The sequence below is a fragment of the Homo sapiens genome, chromosome 1 (genome assembly GCF_000001405.40).
Source record: "Homo sapiens chromosome 1, GRCh38.p14 Primary Assembly".
In the NCBI taxonomy this organism is placed as follows: Eukaryota; Metazoa; Chordata; class Mammalia; order Primates; family Hominidae; genus Homo; species Homo sapiens.
In genome coordinates, this window is record NC_000001.11 from 62,306,044 (window position 1) to 62,327,332 (window position 21,289).

Here is a 21,289-nt window from a genome sequence, read left to right on the forward strand (position 1 = left end):
GTGCCATCATGGCTCACTGTGGCCTCAAACTCCTGGCCTCAAGCGATCCTTCTGGTTCAGTCTCCTAAGTAGGTGGGACTACAGGCATGTGCCACCATGCCCAGCTAATTTTTATTTTTATGTTTTGTAGAGATAGGGGTCTCACTATGTTGCCCAGGCTGGTTTCAAACTGCTGGCCTCAAGCGATCCTCCTGCCTCAGCCTCTGAAAGCATTGGGATTACAGGCATGAGTCACTGCACCTAGACCACAGACTTTCTTTACTCAGACCCAGACATAATTAATGACTTGCAATATGTTCAAGATGGAGTATGAGGAAAAAAACAGCAGGACAATAGGTAAGCCCCATTTTTATTTAAAAAATTTTCTATACAAATATATCTGGATATGTATCTAGCTCTATATAAGAATATGTAGTTACATATCATATATATACAGTGCCAAACTAGATCAATTTCCTCCAAACTGGTCTATATGCTCTAACCACCAGTTCTTGACAGTTTAAAGTTTTTGCCTTTATATGCTTCTACATTATTTTATTATTATCATTTTTTAAACAGATTCTCTATCCCTGTTGCTCAGGCAGAGGTGCAGTGGCATGATCATAACTCATTACCTCTATATATTTTTCAATGTTTGCTGCTAACTGGTATGATATTTATAATAATTTTTAATAAAAAAATTCCCAATAGTGTTCACAAAGCCTTTCAAATTGTAAAGGCCACCCCCTCCAACATACACATTATTTAGAGGAATAGTAATATAATATAACATAATAATAATTTCTTTTCCTCTCCTCCTTTTCCAAATTATTCCTAAAAATTCTCTTTGTATTAGTTTCTGTAGCAATTAAACACACAAACACACAGAAACATTTCACTCTGTCCTTCTTTTTAAGCTTAAAAGGATAATAAAGTAAGATAGTAAACATCTTACAATACAATAAATATTGGCCAAGGGTGGGTGTTTTGGTGTCATCCCCAGTAAAGATGCCAGACACTGCAGCTGAAAGCAAACAGGCCTACCCGTCATTCCATCTTTCCAGATGTCCTGGCCCCACCTTCACTTCGTCCAGGTTCCTTCCCAGGCCATCATGCAGGAAGCATCCCATTTGCCCCACCTAACTGCTTCTCAACCCACAATCAAAATTTTCCTGAGGAGTCCGGTGCGGTGGCTCACACCTGTAATCTCAGCACTTTGGGAGGCTGAGGTGGGTAGATCGCCTGAGGTCAGGAGTTCGAGACCAGCCGGGCCAACATGGTGAAACCTTGTCCTACTAAAAATACAAAAATTAGCCGGACGTCGTGGTGCACACCTGCAGTCCCAGCTACTTGGGAGGCTGAGGAAGGAGAATGGCTTGAATCCAGGAGGCAGAGGTTGCAGTGAGCTGAGATCGCAGCACTGCACTCCAGCCTGGGTGACAGAAAGAGACTCTGCCAAAAAAAAAAAAAAAAAAATTCCTGAGGAGTAGTTAAAATTCATTTCCTAATCTGATAAACAGACTATAATGTGAATAGTTTAGAATTTCCTTTCTCCTCCCCTGTAACACATTAACATTCTGAGAACATTGTAATAACTCCACAGTAAGCTTATGGCAGAGATTTCAGACAAGCCAGTTGGCTGTGGGACCCCAGCCATCACCGAAGGTCCACTGCTCACCTTCCAGCCAGGTGTGGCCATGGTGGGAGTGACTCAAGGCTAGTGTTGCCAGACCTGATTTTTTTTTTTTTTCAAAAGAAGCTAGACATGTAGATTTATGTAAAATCTGATTTTTAAATGTTGACAGAATTCTTCTTTTTTAAAAAATGCTATGAAGGTCAAACAGAACCCAAATGCAAGCCAAATGCCACCCATGTGCCTGCCAGCTAGGCCCTGAAGGCTGTCTCTGCATACCTCTCTAGCCTCATCTCCAATTCCTCTGCCCTTCATAAATGCCACTCACACCTCACCCCCTGCCTTAACACCCCTGTGCCTTTGCTCACCCCGTATCCACCCTGTAGGATGCCCTTTTTTGTCTTTTCTATCAGACTGGCAAGTGGCAGGTTGCAGCTTGGTCTCTGGGCCCCAGGAACCAGCATTCACCTCTGCCTGCCCTTTGCTCCTGGTCTCTAGCGCCCTAGGGAAAAGTGTTTTCTGCATGATTCAGGCTCTGCTTTGGAAGGCTAACTACAGTTATGATGGATGACAGTGGGGACGCACCTTCCCCAGAGGCTAACAGGAAAGCCGGCTGGAGAGGCTCACACAGGCGCCTGCATGGAGAGGGGCCTAATGACCTCCTATTGCCCAGGGCGGCTGCCTGGCCAGATAATGTGCCTTCTGCAGTCAGGACAAGAGCAGGGGTGGGAGGATCCTGTAGAGAGCCCTGAAGTGAGTCTATGCTGGTTACCAGAAAACTCCTGAGCAGCTGCACCCCCTACCCCTCCTCACTCACCAGCCAGGAGCCTGGGCCAGGTGCTCCTGCTCCTGATCTCTCTCCTGGTCCAGGTTGGAGAGAACTATCCTGGTCTCAGGAGGAATCACAAAGAATCTAGCCAGGCTGACATTCTCAAAAGCCCAGCCACCCTCTCAAAGGAGCAGTTTCCAGCACCCACCAACACTCATCCCAAGATCAGAGGGTTAAGGAAAACTCTGGTTTCCTGCTACCACCACCACAACCACCACCCCCAAAGTCAAGCCAGGGAGGGAACACCGAGGGCACCTCTCCCCAGGGAACTCAGCACCTCAGAGAACTTGCCTAGAAGGCAACGATCTGGGAAAAATGTCACAGGGCCCAAACCCTCCCAGAGAAAGGCAGATTCCTAAGTCCCCTCCCACCCAGACTTGGCATCTAAGCAGCTGGGGTGGAGGAGCAGGGTCCCCCTGACTTCTGATTCTCCTGCCTCTTTTTCCTCCATCTCCTCCCTTAGGGACCGTCCCAGAACCTCCCTTGGGGCTCCCAGGGGCTTTCAATCCTCACCTCCAGGATAACTTGAAGAATACCAGGTGTTTTAGCCTGTCTGGGCTGCTATCACAAACTACCATAAGATGGGTGGCTTCCAAACAAAAGATGTGTGTATGTCTCACCGTTCTGGAGGCTCGGAGAATGCCATCAGCGTGCCAGCATGGCTGGGTTCTGGTGGGGTCCCTCTTTCAGCTTGCAGACTGTTGGCATCTGGCGTGTCCTCACATGACAGAAGGGTTGACAGAGCTCTCTCTTCTAAGAGCACTATCCCATTTGTGAGGGCTCCACCTTCATGACCTAAGTTACCTCCCAAAGATTGCATGTCCTAATACCATCACATTGGGGATTAGAACATCAACATATGAATTCTGGGAGGATACCAGCTTTCAGACCACAGCACCAGGCTCTCATTGAGAATCCCAGGCAGACCTGGTAGCATCCACAGGCAGTTTAGCTCAATAAATCCTCGACACACCAGTGAAGTAGGATCTTTTACCCTATTTTAAAGGCAAGAAAGTTAACTTCAAAACCACTTTATAATTAGAAAGGAAAAAGAAACCTTCAACTGAAAGAAGACTACATTACTTAAATTTTTTTAAAAAAGCTAATTTTATTAACTAGTTATTATGTGCCAAGGGCTTTAAGTGCACTATCTCATTTCATCTTGGGTAACCCTATAATACAATCTTTTTTGTCCCCATTTTACAGATAGGAAGCTGAGGATAGGGCAGCGATGTGACTTAGCCAAGGCCAGGGGAATTTCACTCTTCCACGGGCCACACTGCGATGGACTAACAGGTTCTCCTTCCAGGTAACACATCTACATTTTAACAAGAGCTGCCTGGAGAAGACAAAGTAGCCCAAAGCAATGGTTCAAAAGCGGGGAATTTCTCTGCCAGTGGGCAGAGCTCTCAGGGCAGGAGCCTTTTGGCACCAGCAAGCATCACCCGAAGGCGGCCACCCACAGGCCTGGCTGACACAGGGCTCCATTCAGCAGTCGGCAAAGCCAAGGGACATGGGGATAGAATGAAGAAGAGGATTAAGTCAGGGAAGGCCAGCCCCGAGGCAGGCACTACAGCAAGGCAAGCAAGCACCTGAAGAAGAATGTGCTCCTCCCCTGTTCCCTTGTCCAAAATATCAGTCACTTAACCACGTGGAATCATCAGTCCCAGGGCAGGGCAGCAAACTGGGGCAAAAGTCCTCACTCAGCTCAGTCATTCAATCCCCTTGCCACCCAGGGCCTGCCACCTGCCCTCTCTGGTTCGCTCCTCAGTTGTAAGACAAGGGGGACGATCTAGGTAAGTGGTAAGGTTTCTTCCACCCTCAACTAATACAAAATTGCGTAGGAGCCTAGTGCATCTGGCACTTGGAGCAGCAGCATTAATGGCCAAGGTAGGATGCAGGGAGGACTGGAGAGAGAGGGAGAAAGCAGCAGGGGCCAAAGAAAGGTGAGGGACAAGCTCTAGGTGACGGAGACCAGAAAAGGGGTTTGGGGGGCTGGGGTGCCAAGAATGGGCAAATTCCCTGAAAGGGGGAATGAAAGAAACAATTCATTTGCTTTTATCAAGGTTCTACTGAGAAGGCCTCCATGACAGATGCGGCACTGGGCACTGGGAAGGGGAGAAGGAGCTTCTATACAGAGGGACAGCCATGCACAGCAATAGCAATTAGCTCTTCACAAGGCCAGAGCCAGGTACTATGATGAGTAGTGCCTGCTGCTCATGTTGGAGAGAAATCAGGGAAGCCTTCCTAAAAGAGCTCACCTGAGAAGATGGGGACAATTTCACCCAGTCTAAGTCTAGTTCCTCCCACCCAAATGGAAAGAACTACCCAAAATGGCGCTGAAGCACTAGAGGGAGAATAGGTAAAATTAGGCAAGCACCATTATCTCCATTTCACAAATACAAAAACTGAGGTTCAGCATGGTCATGGCCAGGTAGCAGAGCTGGCATTAGAACCCATTCTGCCTGACTCCACAGCTTTTGCTTGTAATTTCTATTCTGTCATCACTCCTGCAGACTGTATGCCTGTGAGTGGGTTAAGGGTGGGAGGGGAAGGAACTGGCGTGAGAACAAGCAAAGGCCAGAGAGATGGATTGGGGAAGATGAGGATGGATAGTAAGCACTTTCCTACCAAAAGAATATGGCAGCCAGAGCTTTCCCAAACACACTCTTCCCAGTTGCCTGTAGTAGGTTTCAAGAACAAGTTTCTAGAATCAGGCAGATGCAGGCTGAGCTCCTGGCTCCACCACTTGATATCTCGGGTACCCTAGAGCAAGTGTTTAACCTCTTAGAGCTTCACTTTGCTCACCAATACAACGGGAATGATAACAGTCATACCTTATTGAGTAGTGGGTAAAGATGAAACAACTGCTATATTCAAAGGTCTTGGCACGGTGTCTGGCACAAGTTCGATAAAAGGTAGCAAAAAAAAACACAACCACTACTCTAATAAATATTGCTCCAGTAGACGCTCCTGTTTCCTGGCTTCCTCCTCAAAATCACCATGGGGCCAGTCCTCCACATCCTCCCTCCTCCTCCTTTGCATACCCTCCATTTCAGAACCCACTTCAAAGCTACTTCTTCACCAGCTTCATCTCCTTCCTAGGATTCTAGTTTGCACTGGATCAAGGGATTCATCAGTTAGTCTACACAAACTCCTTAACCTCTCGGGATCATCATTGCGCGCTAGGTGGTTGTTCCAGTAGATTGCTTTGCATGGGATTAACCAAGCAATCAGCTCAGGGGCTGGTGGGTTTGTGGGCTGATAGAATTACCCGATGAGTCAGCCGTGTGTGCCTGCAATTTGTAAATTGACCTCTAGATAACATCAAAGTCTTCTACCCAAACCACAAATTCTGCGCTTTTGCAAATTTGCCAACAATTAAATAAAATTTACTACTCCTTAAGAATGTCTTCCACTAATTAGACAGTGACAGATGAGTATATAAAAAGTCAGGGTGAGGGAGGGTAGGAAATTGGGGATAAAGCTTACTGACTTCCTGTCGGGGGTCTTAACCTTTTTTGTGCCTTCATCCCTTTGGCAGACTGGTGAAGCCTATGGACTCTTTCTCAGAACATTTAAAAATGCATAAAATAAAATGCATAGCTTGACTACAAAGAAAACCAATAATATTGAAATATAATTAATAAAATTTTTTAAATTGTGTAATATAGTAATATATTCTTCTTTATTAATGCATTAAATAACAAGCTCTGGCAGCAGGTATAGTAACTACTATAAATACAAAGCCATCAGGGACATAAATAATATTTCAAGGTATCTGTCGCAGCTAAAATGTAACATGAAAATATCTGTGATTTCTAGTGGTGACAATGTCACAGGGACTGCAAATACACTGTGGATTGTTGCCTACATTCGTAATACAAGAAAATCCTAAATAAAGATGCTTTTTTTCCCCTATCCAAGTTTACAGACTCCTCTGAATTCTATACGGGAACCCCTTGGGGCTCTTGACCCTAAGTTAAGAATCTCTGTTAGATCCTTTATGGCTCAGTAAGTATTTCTACTGGGCACATTTCTGAGTTCCAGCTCACCCTTCTCTCCTTCTTGAAGAATCTCCACCCACACCCTTTCTGCCTCAAAAGTTCTTCACATAGGACTCTCTTCTGCCCACCCCTCTCATCCAACTGGCCCAAGGAGGACCCCTGCCACAGTGGCATCCCATGCCCTGGCTGCCTGGCACCTGCCAAGACAGAGACTGGAGAGAAAGCCTCACTTGCAGAGAACCAGCTCAGACATCAGGATGCTCTCTGGAACTTGAAGTCAGCAACAAAAGAGAGCTTCGTGCAATCGTAGGGCAAGGGGTGGGTTGGCAGGTGCTGTGTTAATCCATGGCACTTAGAATGTAGGCCAGTGACCAGCTGTACTGGAAGAATGACCTTGAACTCAAACTCCTCTCCACGGTATCAACTGCCTCAAGGATGCTTGGCCTCCTTCCAGACCTGTGCTTAGACATCAATACAGTGGTTCCCCCCCAAACCCCTGTTATCTGCAGTTTCGCTTTCTGAAGTTTCAGTTACCTATGGTTAATGAAGGTCCAAAAATATTAAGACATTTTGAGGGAGAGAGAGAAAGACCATATTCACATAGTTTTTGTTACAGTATTATTGTTATAATTGTTGTCTTTTGTTATTGTTGTTAATCTCTTACTGTGCTAATTTATAAATTAAACTTTATCACAGGTATGTATGCATAGGAAAAAGCATAGTATATATAGAGTTCAGTACTATCCATGGTTTTAGGCATCCACAGAGGGTCCTGGAATGTATCTCCCATGGGAAAGGAGGTACTACTGTACTGCATTTTATGGCTTCTCAGTCTCTTCCTGGAACCACAACTCAAGGGAGTCTCTGTTTTCTGTGTTACAAGAGCCCCAGGTCAGCACCATTTTATTAATATAGACAAAGAAGCTGAAGTTTAGTAAACTTGAATAATGTTCTCAGGCTCACGGGGATAATAAATGGTGAAGCCATTTTCCCTTTCTTTTCCTCTCACTCCCAAACACCCTATTATGGAGGGGCAGGTGGGTAATGCCTTTTGTTATTATTTTTTATTTCAAATCACACAAATGATCCATGAAAATAATCTCTTAAAAATTCAAACATTACACCGCATGTTCTCATTCATAAGTAAGAGTTGAACAATGAGAACACATGGACACGGGGAGGGGAACATCACATACTGGGGCCTGCTGAGGGTGAGGGGCAAGGGGAGGGAGAGCATTAGGACAAATACCTAATGCATGCGGGGCTTAAAACCTAGATGACGGGTTGATAGGTGCAGCAAACCACCATGGCACATGTATACCTACGTAACAAACCTGCACGTTCTGCACATGTATCCCCAAGCTAAAAGTAAAATAATAAATTTTTTTTTAAATTTAAACATTGATAAAATGCCCTCCCCATTCATACTCAACGTCGTACCTAATAACTGTAGACCCTGACCACACTATTATATTCAGCCACTACCGAACTTGCCATTCCGTCTTTTTGTTTTGTTTTGTTTTGATTTGTTTTGTTTTTGAGATGAAGTCTTGCTCTTGCCGCCCAGGCTGGAGTACAGTGGCGCGATCTCGGCTCACTGCAACTTCTGCCTCCTGGGTTCAAGCGATTCTCCTGCCTCAGCCTCCTGAGTAGCTGGGATTACAGGCATGTGCTACCATGCCCAGCTAATTTTTGTATTTTTAGTAGAGATGGGGTTTCTCCATGTTGGCCAGGCTGGTCTCGAACTCCTGACCTCAGGTGATTGGCCTGCCTCAGCCTCCCAAAGTGCTGGCATTAAGGTGTGAGCCACTGCGCCCAGCCTCCATTCTGTCTTTTAAACCTTTCCCCAGGAGTAGGATGGCTACATTTTCCAAGGCAGAAGGGAGAGCGGGGTGGGAAACACCGATGAACTGAGCGCAGCGCCTGAAAACACTCAGCCCTGCTGCCTGGTGCCCTGCTAGGAACATCCAAATCGATGGCACCGAGAGCTGGCGTCTCCGGGCTGCTGGGCAGAAACCAGGATGTGGAGGGGAATCGGCACCGAAGGCTGCTCTTTTATCCTTGTGTGGAGCAAATTCTCCCTATGCTGTATTTCTCTCCCCCCTTGTCATTTGACGTCAGAGCCACAAATTAGAAATACATACCAAAGGAAACTCTGCAGACACAAAGGATCCTTCCATGCAAAGGGGGAAAAGCCACAGCCACATTAAAAAAAAAAAAAATCTATCCAACCAACAAGTTTTATTTACTTTTGGGGAAAAAATGAGGAGAGTGATGGAACTGGGATTTGTGTTTTCTCCCACAATGCCTGTGTCTCCAGAAAGCTATTTGAGGGGGCAGAGCCCAGGGCCTGGGCGAGACAGTGAAGTGATCCTTTTGAAAACAGGACTTCTTTCTCTTGGAGAAGGAACGCTCGGCCAGCTTCTTCAGACGCCACCAATCTATAACTGCCCATGTATCACATTCACCATCTACGTACTTTAAATCTTGGACAGCATTTATTTTATCCTGGAAACTGTGACAGCCCTGTTTTTAGCCGGAGGGCCCCTTTTCTCTCCTTTAATCCTACTTTGAAATATTATCTGTGTAGACTGCAGGCTGTTCACAGAAAGGCCCATTAGAAGCCTCTTAGTCCAAACTTGGTCTGGGAGATTGGCGTCCTGAGGCACAGAGAGGTTATGGACCAGCTGTAAATCACACAGCTGCTTGGCGGTGAATCTAGGCTCCAATCCCAGGATACACTGACCTCCAAACCCATGCCTCTTCCCACAAACTCTACTACAGTGTAGCACAAAGTGGTTAGCCGTCTGATCTCCAAAGACAGAGGGCTCTGTGAAATCCCAGTTTTATGGTCATTTAATATGGACCATGACCCTGGGCAAGTCACTTAACCTCTCTGAGCCTCGATTTCCTTACCTACACATTGGGGATTATGGCAGTAACTAACTCTAGGATAAGGGTGAGGCTTGACTATGCCAGGGATCGACACACATGTACATTATGATATTGTACTGTTCCTGTTTCACACACAATCGAGTGGCTCTGTGATAACTGTATCCACGCCATCATCCAGAAATTGGCAAGAAAGGATTGTTCTCAAACCCATTGTACAGATAGGAAAATTGAGTCCCCCCGCCCACAGATGACATAACTTGCACAACATCAGAGTTTTAAAAGTAAGTATATAGGTGGAGGCTGCAGTGAGCCATGTTCATGATACTGCACTCCAGCCTAGGTAACAGTGAGATCCTGTCTCAAAAATAAATAAATAAAAGTAAGCATATTCTCAGCACTAAGAAGTCCTAAATATCCTCCCCACCATACCTACCGAAGTGCAGGTTGAACTAGGAGTAAAAGTTGCCTCTTCCCTTCCCCCTGCAGAGCAGAGCCACGAGTGCACAAGCACATACTCCATGGCCCTGTCTTGTAAACTGGAATCAGCACGGGTCCTGGCACAGAGCAGAGGCTCAATGCAGTTTCAAAGAATGGGTGAATTCCTGAATCAATGAAAATCCCAATCTGCTAAGAAAGGGGCCAGGCAGGCAAGAGCTCTGGTAGCAGCAAGCAAGAACCCCGTTCTCTCCTTAGCCTGTTCTGCAGGAAGAAACCTTTGACAAGGTCAATAGCTGGGCCTCTGATCTCAATGGTCCACCAAGGGCGTCCCCCAGTCTGGCCCACATGGCCCAATCCAGGACCCAGGAGGTAACTGTGAAGCACAAGTGACCCTCCTCCAGCTAAAACAGATGTAATAATATTGCAGGCAAAGGGCGGTGAACAGGCCAGGGAGAGGGCCCATCTGTCTTCCTAATTGTCAACTCTGCCCATAATATTTTTCTCCCTGTCACACCTTAGGCTGCTACTGAACTGAAGCAAAACCAAGATATCCATCTTCCAGCCATGAGCAGTGGCCTTCATAAAGTACCAGGAACGAAAAGAGGCTGCTTGGCTAAGAGAAGCAGACAGAGCTGGAAGGAGCTTTAAACTGCAAGTCAGGAGCTTAGGAATCCCTACTCATAGCCAGCTGTGGGTACTTAGGCAGTCATCGCACCTCACTGAGCATCCATTTTCTGTAAAATTGAAGTCCAAAGTTTTGGAAATGGGTTAATGGAGCAGGGAGGTGTGAATCATGTAATATTGTATGCAAGATATTTTAGGTTTTATGCAGTTGGAGGAGAGTATCCATAATTTTCATCAGAATCTCAAAGATATATGCAATAACCACCATCCCCTCCCCATATAAAAAAGTTAAGAAATACTGGACAGGACAGTTTCCATCCAACAAGCATTTTTTGAACACCTTCTATGTGCCCTGCTCTGTGCTAGGTACTTGGAGAGCCCTGTTTTTAAGGTGCTCAGTGTAGCTGATGTTTGCTGTGACAGAAGCATGTCCAGGGAGCTTTAGGAACAAAGAGAAAGCAGCATTTGCCTCTATCTTGTCAGGAAGGGCCTTCTGCAGGGGAAAAAACCTTATGTTTAATGCCGAAGTTCAAAGCTAAGAGTGCATTCACTGGGTGGGCAAGAATAATATTTCAGACCAAGGGTAGTAGTATGTGCAAAGGCAACGCGTGGCCCAGGAACCACTTGAAGCATAATTGTGCTGAACATATTGAAGGTGCTCATTGCAAGGGGCCGGGAAAGTGTTAGAGCCAGAAGTGAGGCTGGGAAGGCAGGTAGGGCCCAGATGAGGAAATGCCATGTATGCCACCCTAAGGAATTTTACACTGTCAGCAAGTTCTTTCTAGTTTTAAAAGTCTAGGATGAGCCACCACTCCTAGCACAAATCTCCCTAAATGTTGGGCAGAGGCTTTGGTTCACTGTGAGCTGAATGGACATTAGGGAATGAACCGCTCGCTGCTCTTGGCACCACGAGCAGGCATGGGCTGTCTGACCAAGGTGCACACATGGGGCAGTGAGTCCAGCAAGGTGCTATTGGTCTATCTCTCTCCTTCTCCCCACACTATGATCTAGCCAGGGGACTTCCAACTGCTCATTATTACAGTTCAGAAAGGAAGGCACTGACTGGACCAGTCAATGGGATGCACAACTAAAGGACTGCCCATTTGGGCCCCTGGTAGTAACTCAGCCAACAGAGGCTTTCAGTTCCTCTAACCCACTCTGCTACTCACCTTAGGCCCTCTCACACGCGGCTACTTCTGCCTAGAAGGCTCATTCCACTCTCTCCTGTCATTCTGCAGACTGACCGACTACTGGACCTATCAGGTTTTCAGGGTATCTAGTCCTTTCAAAGAACTCAGCACTGGAGAATTCTCTATTTATGTGAGTGATTTAATTCCTGTTGGTGTTGGCCACTGGAATGCAAGCTCCATGAGGCCAGAAGGTGCCAGTTTTGTTCACTTCTGTACCTCACTACGTTGACCAGTGCCTGGCACAGAGCATTTGTTGATTGAATCAGTCTGGTCTGATCCCCGAGCCATTCCCCAAAACTCACTTTCCCCAGGTCACATTATGGTCCAGTGAAGTGGGAAGGCTGGGCTTGAAAAGGCAGTATTAGAACGGACTCTGCCTCCATTCCCAGTGTAGCTTTCCTGTGTCACATTTTGAGAGGCTCTAAGCAACCTGGGCTTGATTTACCCAAGCAGGTCCTTGGGAATCGTGTTTAACTCAAGATGCTTTCTCCCCATGCCTCAGCCGGGTCACTGGCTGCATCTGATCCTCCTCTGGCCCTATTTGGTAGATAGGACTTTGCCCAGGCCTCAGGGGGTCCTCCTCCCTCTCCTGGAAAATACTCCCTCTTTGCCCTAAAGGCTTGCACTCCAGGGCGCTTAGGAACTAAGACTTGAGTTTGGCAGCCCCGAAGGATGCCCAGGGCAAGAGTTAGGTTCAGACCCAGCGTAGCGGCCATGGGCTCGACTTTCCAACTCCCATTTCTGGCCAGTCTGCGGGGTCAAAGTACCCAGTCACAGATTTGACCTTACCGGAGAGGCAGAAGGGAAAGGAGCCCACAGGAGGCATGCGGGCTGGGCAAAGCGCCCTCGGCGGCGTCTAGAGCACTCGGAGCTGCCCCATTGCCTCCGCCCAAGGTCGCGGCCCAAAGGGAGCCCTGGAAAGTTCAGCCAGGGGCCGAGGAGTGCCAGGGTTGGCACTACGGGGAGACTTTTGCGACAGGAGAGAGACTAAGAGCTCGATTCCAGGTAGCAGTGGGAGCCCGCGGCAAAGAACGCCCAGTCCCGCAGGCTGCATCCCAGACCGCAGCGCCTAGCTCGGAAAAGCTGGGCGGGGGCTGCACCACCTGAGTCGCAAGGACAGCACGGCCTCCCCCTCCTCACCAGTGTTCTCCACCCCCAGAATTGGGGCGCGGAGAGCCAATCTGGGCTGGAAAGGGAGCGGCGCCCACCTTTGGGCAGCCCGAGCAGCCCCGCTCCTTTTCTGTCGCAGACCCCAGGCTGGGAGGCGGGGGCGCCAGGTCGGCCCAAGCTGCCGCAGCCACTGCTTTAAAGGGAGCCGGGGACGCGGCGCTGGGGACTGGGCGAGGCGGGTGGCAGAGGCAAGAGGAGAGTGGTCGAGCGCCGGGGCCAACACTCGGGTCGCGCAGGGCGGGTGTTGAACACCCCAGCAGACGCACTGCGGGGGACTGGGGTCGCAGAGTCCCTTACCTTGGCGAGCTGCGGAAGTCCTGCGCGAGGCGGCCCGCGGTGCACGGGGCCGGGGCAGCTAGGCGCACACCCCGGCTTCGGAGCGCACGCAACCTCCGGGTGCACTGTCCGCGTCCCAGGCGCGCACCCCGGGGCTGGCGCACCCTGGTCGTCCGCGGCGCGCACACCCTCCAGGCGCCCTCTGGCCGACGGTCTCGGCCCTGGCCCCGGCGCACCCCTGCGGGCACACCCACCGCGGCGGATGCGGGACTGGCCAGGCGCCGCCAGCCGCGGCTTCGCCCCGCGTCGCCAGCTGCCAACAGCGCCCGAGTCCCCGCCTTCGCTAGGGGAGAAAAAAAAGACTCCTGACGCGGCGCGGACTTTGGTGTGTAGGAAGGGGCAGAATTGCGAAACCGAGGGGAGGGTCTTAGCCTCGATAAACTCAAAAGCCCTTGATAAACATGAGCTTAGAAGAAAAACTTTTTGAAAAGAGACCAAAAACTCCTAACCTGTTCATAGCGCTTTTCAGATTCCCAAAGTGCTTTCGTATGCGTTTATCTCGGTTCATCTAGACATTTCCATCCTCATTTGATAGGTGCAGAAACAGCACCAGACAAGGTAATGACTTGCCCCAGCCAGGACTGGAACCTAGGTCTGGCCACTGGGAAGCTGGGTGCAGTAAGTTAGGTCCTCGCCAGCGGATGTGGGCCAGTGAGGGCTGGGGTCCTAGTAACAGAACTTTTACCTCTCCTAAATCGTCTTTTTCCATCTCCTTTTTTTCTTCCCAATCCTTGCTGTAGTCCCACTCAGGAACCCTAAGTCTTTCATTTCACACTCCGACCTCCCACCAAAGGTTTGTTGTTGTTGTTGCTGTTTGAGACGGAATCTCGCTCTATGGCCAAGCTGGAGAGCAGTGGCGCGATCCCGACTCACTGGAACTTCCGCCTCCCTGGTTCAAGCGATTCTCCTGCCTCAGCCTCCCGAGTAGCTGGGACTACAGGCGCACACCACCACGCCCAGCTAACTTTTGTATTTTTAGTAGAGACGGGGTTTCACCATGTTGGCCAGGCGGGTCTCGAACGTCAGGTGATCCGCCCACCTCGGCCTCCCAAAGTGCTGGGATTACATGCATGAGCCACGGCGCCCGGCCCACCAGAGTTTTTTATCAGTTCAAAATGTTTGCGTTTCAACCGCTAACCTTGAATGAACAGTTCACTAAGTGCCTGGTGGGCGTTGTGCACCCTAACCCTAGGAAAAAGGAGCTGCTGCTACTCCTCCTTTACAGATGAAGACAACAGAGATAGGCAAGTAGAGGGCCGTGGACCCCGTAAGACTCCGGATGCCAGCTCTGACCCCCACAATGGGCATCCTTCATGGGCCCATTGGCAAGGGCTAACACTTAGGCAAAGGGGTTTCGTTTTTGACATTGTGACCCAGATGGGGGAGTACTTTCTAGGACTTTCATTTTACGTTTTTATAGAAATATGGTTATTTGAACGATTTCACTTCCACTAGAGCTCCACTGGAGCAAATCAATATCCCAGAGCAATAATAAATGGCAGCAGAGACTTGGTCCCAGTGTTGGGACATAGTAGGGAGTGGTGGGGACTGTGGTGAGCTTGATAGCAGCTCCAGGTTCTTGCCCAAGGGAAGGGGCTGCTGCTACTCAGCTCAGTCTATTTTGTCATCTAGGGAAAGGGATTCATGTGGCCAGATCCTCCCATTTTGAAAAAGAAGCCATCAGCCGGACACGGTGGCTCACGCCAGTAATCCCAGCACTGTGGGAGGCCAAGGTGGGTGGATCAGCTGAGGTCAGGAGTTTGAGACAAGCCTGGCCAACATGTGAAACCATCTGTACTAAAAATACAAAATTAGCAAGGTGTGGTGGTGCGTGCCTGTAATCCCAGCTACTCAGGAGGCTGAGGCAGGAGAATCACTTGAACCCAGGAGGCAGAGATTGCAGTGCACCGAGATCGCACCACTGCCCTCCAGCCTAAGTGACAGAGCAAGACTCCGTCTCAAAAAAAAAAAAAAAGCCATAAGTCAGATATTTAAGTGAAGGCCCCAAATTTGTTAGGAGCTCATTTGTATAATGCTAAACACTTTCTACATAGGTCAACACTGTTCAAGCCAAAGGAAATGGCTTTATGGATCAGATCCAGCCTACAGGCCAGGGGTTTGTGCTCTCCTGTTTGGGGGCACTTCACACTATTTTCATTTGGGCTTCCCAACATCCCTGTGGGATAGACCCAGTGTGGATCATATTTCCATTTTAGGGAAGAGGAAGCCCAGTTCAGGTGGGCTCCAGAACTGGCCCAAAGTCACACAAGCAAATTGGTGGAGCTGGAACTGAAACCAGACATTCCACAACTCCTGGTCCTGGAACCTTTTCTCTGGGCATTCTCTGATCTCATGGAGAATTTGTTTCTTGGTTCTGGGTATTGTGAGCCAAGTTAGGCATGGGGCTGGGACTGGGGTGTGGAGACAGCACCTTTCCTGGGAAGATGGAGCGGGAGTGCCAGACTGCTGTCCTCGAAAGCAGGAGACCAGTCTGATGACTCAGAGATGAGACTGTGTCTTGAGGGTAAAGCTGAGTCAGAGAAAGCAAGATCTGAACTGGGACAGCCTGGGCTTCTGAAGCCCAGGTTAGGGTATTGAGAAACTGGGAGAAAAACAGACTAAGCAAATCCTCTATCCCCACCCCCACTCCCCCCCCACCTCCCCACCCCACACAAAACCAGAAGCCCCAGACACCGAGACACCAGCAAGAACATTGCTTACTATTCCTGTCATGACAGGAAAGCATCAGGAGTTAGACTGTAAGGGGGCCCCTTGTATGGTCCTGGAAAGAGGGAAACTTTTTCAGGCAGCAGATCTCTAAAATCTCAGGTTTGGGCATCTCCACTGCAGGACCCAGCCTGGGCCTTTCAGACGGAGTGAGTACTCGTGTTGAAAACTGATTTAGAATGACTGGGCACAATGCTACTGCAGTCTGATCCTCCGTAATCGAAGGACTGAGCAGCAGACAGAATGGGGCATCTCTGTGCCTTTACTGGAGTTTGGGGTCATGTGTAGGAGGATTAATACTAGTCACTTTTGTGAACCCAGAAAATCTGAGACAGTTCTCAGTTAATTTAGAAAGTTTATTTTGCCAAGGTTGAGGACGTGCCTGTGACACAGCCTCAGGAAGTCCTGATGACATGTGCCCAAGGTGGTCGGGGCACAGCTTGGTTTTATACATTTTAGGGAGACATGAGACATCAATCAATATTGTAAGAAGTACGTTGGTTCGGTCTGAAAGGTGGGACAACTTGAAGCAAAGGCAGGAAGACTCTAAGTGAAGTGGGAGGGAGCTTCCAGGTCACAGATGCGTTCTTTGGAGTTTCTGATTAGCCTTTCCAAAGGAGGCAATCAGATATGCATCCATCTCAGTGAGGAGAGGGATAACTTTGAATAGAATGGGAGGCAGGTTTGCCCTAAGCAGTTTCCAGCTTGAGTTTTCCTTAGTGATTTTGGGGACCCAAGATATTTTCCTTTCACACTATCTACCATGTACTGGCATTTCACATACATGACACAATCTCACTGGGACTCACAACAAAACCGAAATAGCTATTCTCTTATTGAGGATCTGAGGCACAGTGTTACTTGCCTGAGGACACACAACTAGTAAATTGGGGAGGTAGGATTCAAACTTACATCTTTGTGACCCAAATATAAACCTCTCTAACTGTAGGCTTGGAAATTGGGGCCAACATGGAGATGTATCACTCAGATCCCACTTTAAGACAGGACTGCCAGGCTGCAGCCATGTGGTTTGCTGGCAGCCCCCAGTGTGGTGAGCTCCTGCAGTCAGTGGTGTATTGGTAATGTTTAACAACCAGCTCTCTGGGCGCGGTGGCTCACACCTGTAATCCCAGCACTTTGGGAGGCTGAGGCTGGTGGATCACCTGAGGTCGGGAGTTCAAGACCAGCCTGACCAACATGGAGAAACCCCATCTCTACTAAAAATACAAAATTACCTGGGCGTGGTGGTGCATGCTTGTAATCCCAGCTACTCGGGAGGCTGAGGCAGGAGAATTGCTTGAACCTGGGAGGCGGAGGTTGCGGTGAGCCAAGAGCGTGCCATTGCACTCCAGCCTGGGTAACAAGAGCGAGGCTCCGTCTCAAAAAAAAAAAAAAAAAAAACAGCTCTTAGCAGGGAGAAATGTGTGCATATATACAGTGGGTTCTCAGTATTCTCTGTAGTTCTATAAGTTCTATAAAGTGGCTTCAAACACTGAAATCGTGAATATTGAACCATTGCTCTTAGAGGAAATACAGAATAAGGTTCCTGAGGGCCTCTGGTTACATTTTCATCAGCCCATTAATATCTAACATTGTTTTACCTGTATTTCTGTTTAAAGACTCCTTATTCAACATATATCAGGTATGATTCTGACATGAACACTGATTGGTATTTTTGTTTACATTAAGGATTAAAATGAAAGTAAAAGAACAAAGGTGTATATTGGGAACTTCATTATTCAATAGCATGAGTGACTTCTTTGTGAATCAGATAACTGTTTTCAAATACTAGAATATCCCTCAATATTTTGTACTATTTACAATGTACAGACATGGCACACTTTTAAATTTAGTATGCAATATTAACCTTTCTCATTTACTTTCTTATGTCTAGAACACTGTACAGGTTTTTGTGTGAGCATAAATTTTCGTTTCTTTAGGATAAATACACAGGAGTGAGACTGCTAGCTCGTATGATAAATGTATGTACAACTTTATAAAAAACTACCGATCTGGGCGCAGTGGCTCATGCCCATAATCCCAGCACTTTAGGAGGCTGAGGTGGGAGGATCCCCTGAACCCAGGAGTTCGAGACTAGCCTAGGCAACATGGAGAAACTCTGTCTCTACAAAAAATACAAAAATTAGCCAGGCAGGCTGGGCATGGTGGCTCACGCCTATAATCCCAGCACTTTGGGAGGCCAAGGTGGGCAGATCACCTGAGGTCAGGAGTTCGAGACCAGCCTGGCCAACATGGTGAAATCCCATCTCTACTAAAAATACAAAAATTAGCTGGGCATGGTGGCAGGTTCTTGTAATCCCAGCTACTTGGGAGGCTGAGGCAGGAGAATCGCTTGAACCCAGGAGACAGAAGTTGCAGTGAGCCGAGATCACGCCACTGCACTCCAGCCTGGGCTACAAGAGTGAAACTCCTTCTCAAAAAAACAAAAACAAAAATTAGCTAGGCATGGTGGTGAGGCTAACATGGGAGGATCACTTGGGTCCGGAAGGCAGAGGTTGCAGTGAGCTGAGATTGTGCCACTGCACTCCAGCCTGGGCGACAGAGCAAGACCTTGTCAAGAAAAAAAAAAAAGAAAAGGAGAAAGGAGAAAGAAAGAAAGGAAAGAAAGGAAAGAAAGGAAAAGAAAGAAAGAAGAAAGAAAAGAAAAGAAAAGAAAAGAAAGGAAAAGAAGCTACCAAATTTTCCAGTGTGGCTGTACCTTTTATTTATTTATTTATTTTTTTTGAGACAGAGTTCACTCTTGTTGCCCAGACTGGAGTGCAATGGCACAATTTCGGCTCACCACAACATCCGCCTCCTGGGTTCAAGAGATTCTCCTGCCTCAGCCTCCTGAGTAGCTGGGATTACCGGCATGCGCCACCACACCAGGCTAATTTTGTATTTTTAGTAGAGATAGGGTTTCTCCATGTTGATCAGGCTGGTCTTGAACTCCCGACCTCAGGTGATCCACTCGCCTCAGCCTCCCAAAGTGCTGGGATTACAGGCGTGAGCCACCATGCCCAGCCATGGCTGTACCATTTTACACTGCCATCAGCAATGTACAAGAGATCTGGTTGCCCCTCATCCTTTTCAGCACTTGTTATTATCAATGTTTTAAAAAACTTTAGCCATCAGTGTTTAGAGATATCTAAACATAGCTTTCGTTTGTATTTCCCTAATGGTTAATGATCTTGAATATCTATCCATGTGCTTATTTGCCATCTGTATTAGATTTGTTTTTAATATATTTTATTCAATTGTAATTTTACATAATTTAATTTGTAATAATGACTGTCTTTAACAACTGGCTCATAAAATTCCTGAAAATTTCACAATCAGCTATTGCGAGCCAGAGCAAGCTGGCTCCAGCACACCCCTTCATCTGTCTGGCTGAGGTCTCCGTGGCCTCTGGGCAGCTCTCAGGCAATGACTGAGCAAAGAGGTGGAATGAGGCCTCACCATTTCCCCTCAAGGCAGGATTCCTTTCTGGACAGTCTGCTCAGAGCATCGCCATTTGACAGCTCTCCCTGCCCAATTCTGCCTTTCTTTCACAGGGGCTGTTCCTGATAAACTTCCCCAACCGTAACTCTCTATGCATGTTTCCTGGCGAGCCCAGCCAGCACAGAAATTCTGTCTAGTGACACGGCAGCCTTTCTGCCTCTGCCACCGCTGATTTCACTGCCACACTCGCTTAGGCCCTTTGAGCTCCTCACCTAGAAAAACGCACATCAGCCCAGAGGCGCCACTATCTCAGCAGTCCGAGCCCACGCAATGCTCCCGGAGCTGGGCCAGTGGGCGCCTCAACCCCGATTCACCTATGTGCACTGCTGTGTGGTGAGAGTGGTTCCCTGGGTCATTCTCTGGCACAACCTAAAAGTGGAAGTGCAGAAATCTCAATGTCCCGAGGAGGTGATGGCTGTGGTTGAGCTCAGTTGGGGTGGAATGTCCATGATGGTTTTTTCACATGGCTGGTTGACTAATGCTGGTTACTGACCAGGAGCTCAGCTGGGGCTGTTGACTCAGGAGCACCTACACATGGCCTGTCTGTGTGGTTTGGGCTTCTCACAGCCTGGGGCCCCAAGAGTGAACGTTCCAAGAACAAGCCTTTCAAGAGGGAACAAATGGAATCTGCATTTCTCTCAAGGCTAGACCCAGAACTAACACAGGATCACTTGCAACATGTTTTTATTGGTTAATCAGTCATAAGACAAGCTTTTTGTCAAGGGAGGAGGTAATAAACACCAACTCTCAATGGAGAGAGTGAAAAAGAATTTATTGCCATCTTTAATGTACTACAACACCATTAAGAGAATGTAACAGCAGCGGCCGGGCCTGGTGGCTCATGCCTGTAATCCCAGCACTTTGGGAGGCTGAGGTGGGTGGATCATGAGGTCAGGAGTTCGAGACCAGCCTGGCCAAGATGGTGAAACCCCGTCTCTACTAAAAATACAAAAATTAGCCGAGCGCGGTGGTGGGCGCCTGTAATCCCAGCCACTCGGGAGGCTGAGGCAGGAGATTGCTCGAACCCAGGAGGTGGAGGTTGCAGTGAGCTGAGATCATGCCACTGCACTCTAGCCTGGGCAACAGAGCAATACTCTGTCCAAAAAAAAAAAAAAAAAAAAGAATATAACAGCAAAGCACTGGAATATTTTTTATTTTTTCCTTTTTTTTTTTTTTTTTCCTGAGACAGGGTCTGGCTCTGTTGCCCAGACTGGAATGCGTGGCACGATCACAGTTCACTACAACATCCACCTCCGGGGCTCAAGCGATCTTCCCACCTCAGCCTCCTGAGTAGCTGGGACTACAGGCACACATCACCATGCCTGGCTTATTTTTGTATTTTTTTGGTAGAGACACAGTTTTGCCATGTTGCCCAGGTTGGTTTTGAACTGGGCTCAAGTGATCTGCCCGCCTCAGCCTCCCAAAGTGTTAGGATTATAGGCATGAGCCACCATGCCCAGCCAGAAGATTTTCAAAACATATGTGTTATGGGTTGAATTGTGCCCACCGAAAATTCATATGTCCAAGTCCTAACCCCCAGTACATTAGAATGCAACCTTATTTGGAAATAGGGTAATTGCAAATGTAATTAGTTAAGATAAAGTCATACTTGAGTAGGGTGGGCCCTAATGTTACAGAATCTTTGAGGTGTCAATTTTCTGGCTGGAAACCTCTGTGGCCAGCCTGAGTTCTTGTCCTGTGTCCAGGAAGAATGAGATATGCAAACAAGTGAAGGGTGAACAAGATGAAGATGAGCTTTATTAAGTGTTAGAACGGCTCAGAGGAGACCCACAGTGGGTAGCTCCTTTCTGTAGGCAGGTTATCCCGACGTCTGCTGCTCTCAGCAGAGAGGAGGCCCTGGAGAGGGTTGCTCCTGTCTGCAGCTGGTAGTCCGGATGTCTCTGCAGGTCTCTGAAGCTCTCAGCAGAGAGGGTAGCTCCTCTCTGCAGCTGGTCTTCCT

General features: G+C 48.0%; 1 protein-coding gene across 6 annotated transcripts in view, besides 3 other annotated features; it reads right to left on the bottom strand.

The window, feature by feature from the left end:
• KANK4 (KN motif and ankyrin repeat domains 4) overlaps positions 1 to 13,391 on the bottom strand; it is an 83,270-nt gene extending 69,879 nt beyond the window's left edge. For all 6 annotated transcript variants that reach the window (NM_001320269.2, XM_011540845.4, XM_017000483.3 and 3 more), the window contains exon 1: positions 13,063 to 13,391. The gene's annotated coding sequence lies outside the window, so the exon portion shown is untranslated. The remainder of the gene's footprint in view (positions 1 to 13,062) is intronic.
• Positions 2,433 to 3,119: an enhancer, noted in NCBI's record as "H3K4me1 hESC enhancer chr1:62774147-62774833 (GRCh37/hg19 assembly coordinates)". NCBI's record gives its function as "activates a minimal SCP1, AML or CMV promoter by ChIP-STARR-seq in primed H9 embryonic stem cells {active_cell/tissue: H9 hESC(primed)}" and the evidence as "EXISTENCE:reporter gene assay evidence [ECO:0000049][PMID:30033119]".
• Positions 11,984 to 12,708: an enhancer, noted in NCBI's record as "H3K27ac-H3K4me1 hESC enhancer chr1:62783698-62784422 (GRCh37/hg19 assembly coordinates)". NCBI's record gives its function as "activates a minimal SCP1, AML or CMV promoter by ChIP-STARR-seq in primed H9 embryonic stem cells {active_cell/tissue: H9 hESC(primed)}" and the evidence as "EXISTENCE:reporter gene assay evidence [ECO:0000049][PMID:30033119]".
• Positions 12,709 to 13,431: an enhancer, noted in NCBI's record as "H3K27ac-H3K4me1 hESC enhancer chr1:62784423-62785145 (GRCh37/hg19 assembly coordinates)". NCBI's record gives its function as "activates a minimal SCP1, AML or CMV promoter by ChIP-STARR-seq in primed H9 embryonic stem cells {active_cell/tissue: H9 hESC(primed)}" and the evidence as "EXISTENCE:reporter gene assay evidence [ECO:0000049][PMID:30033119]".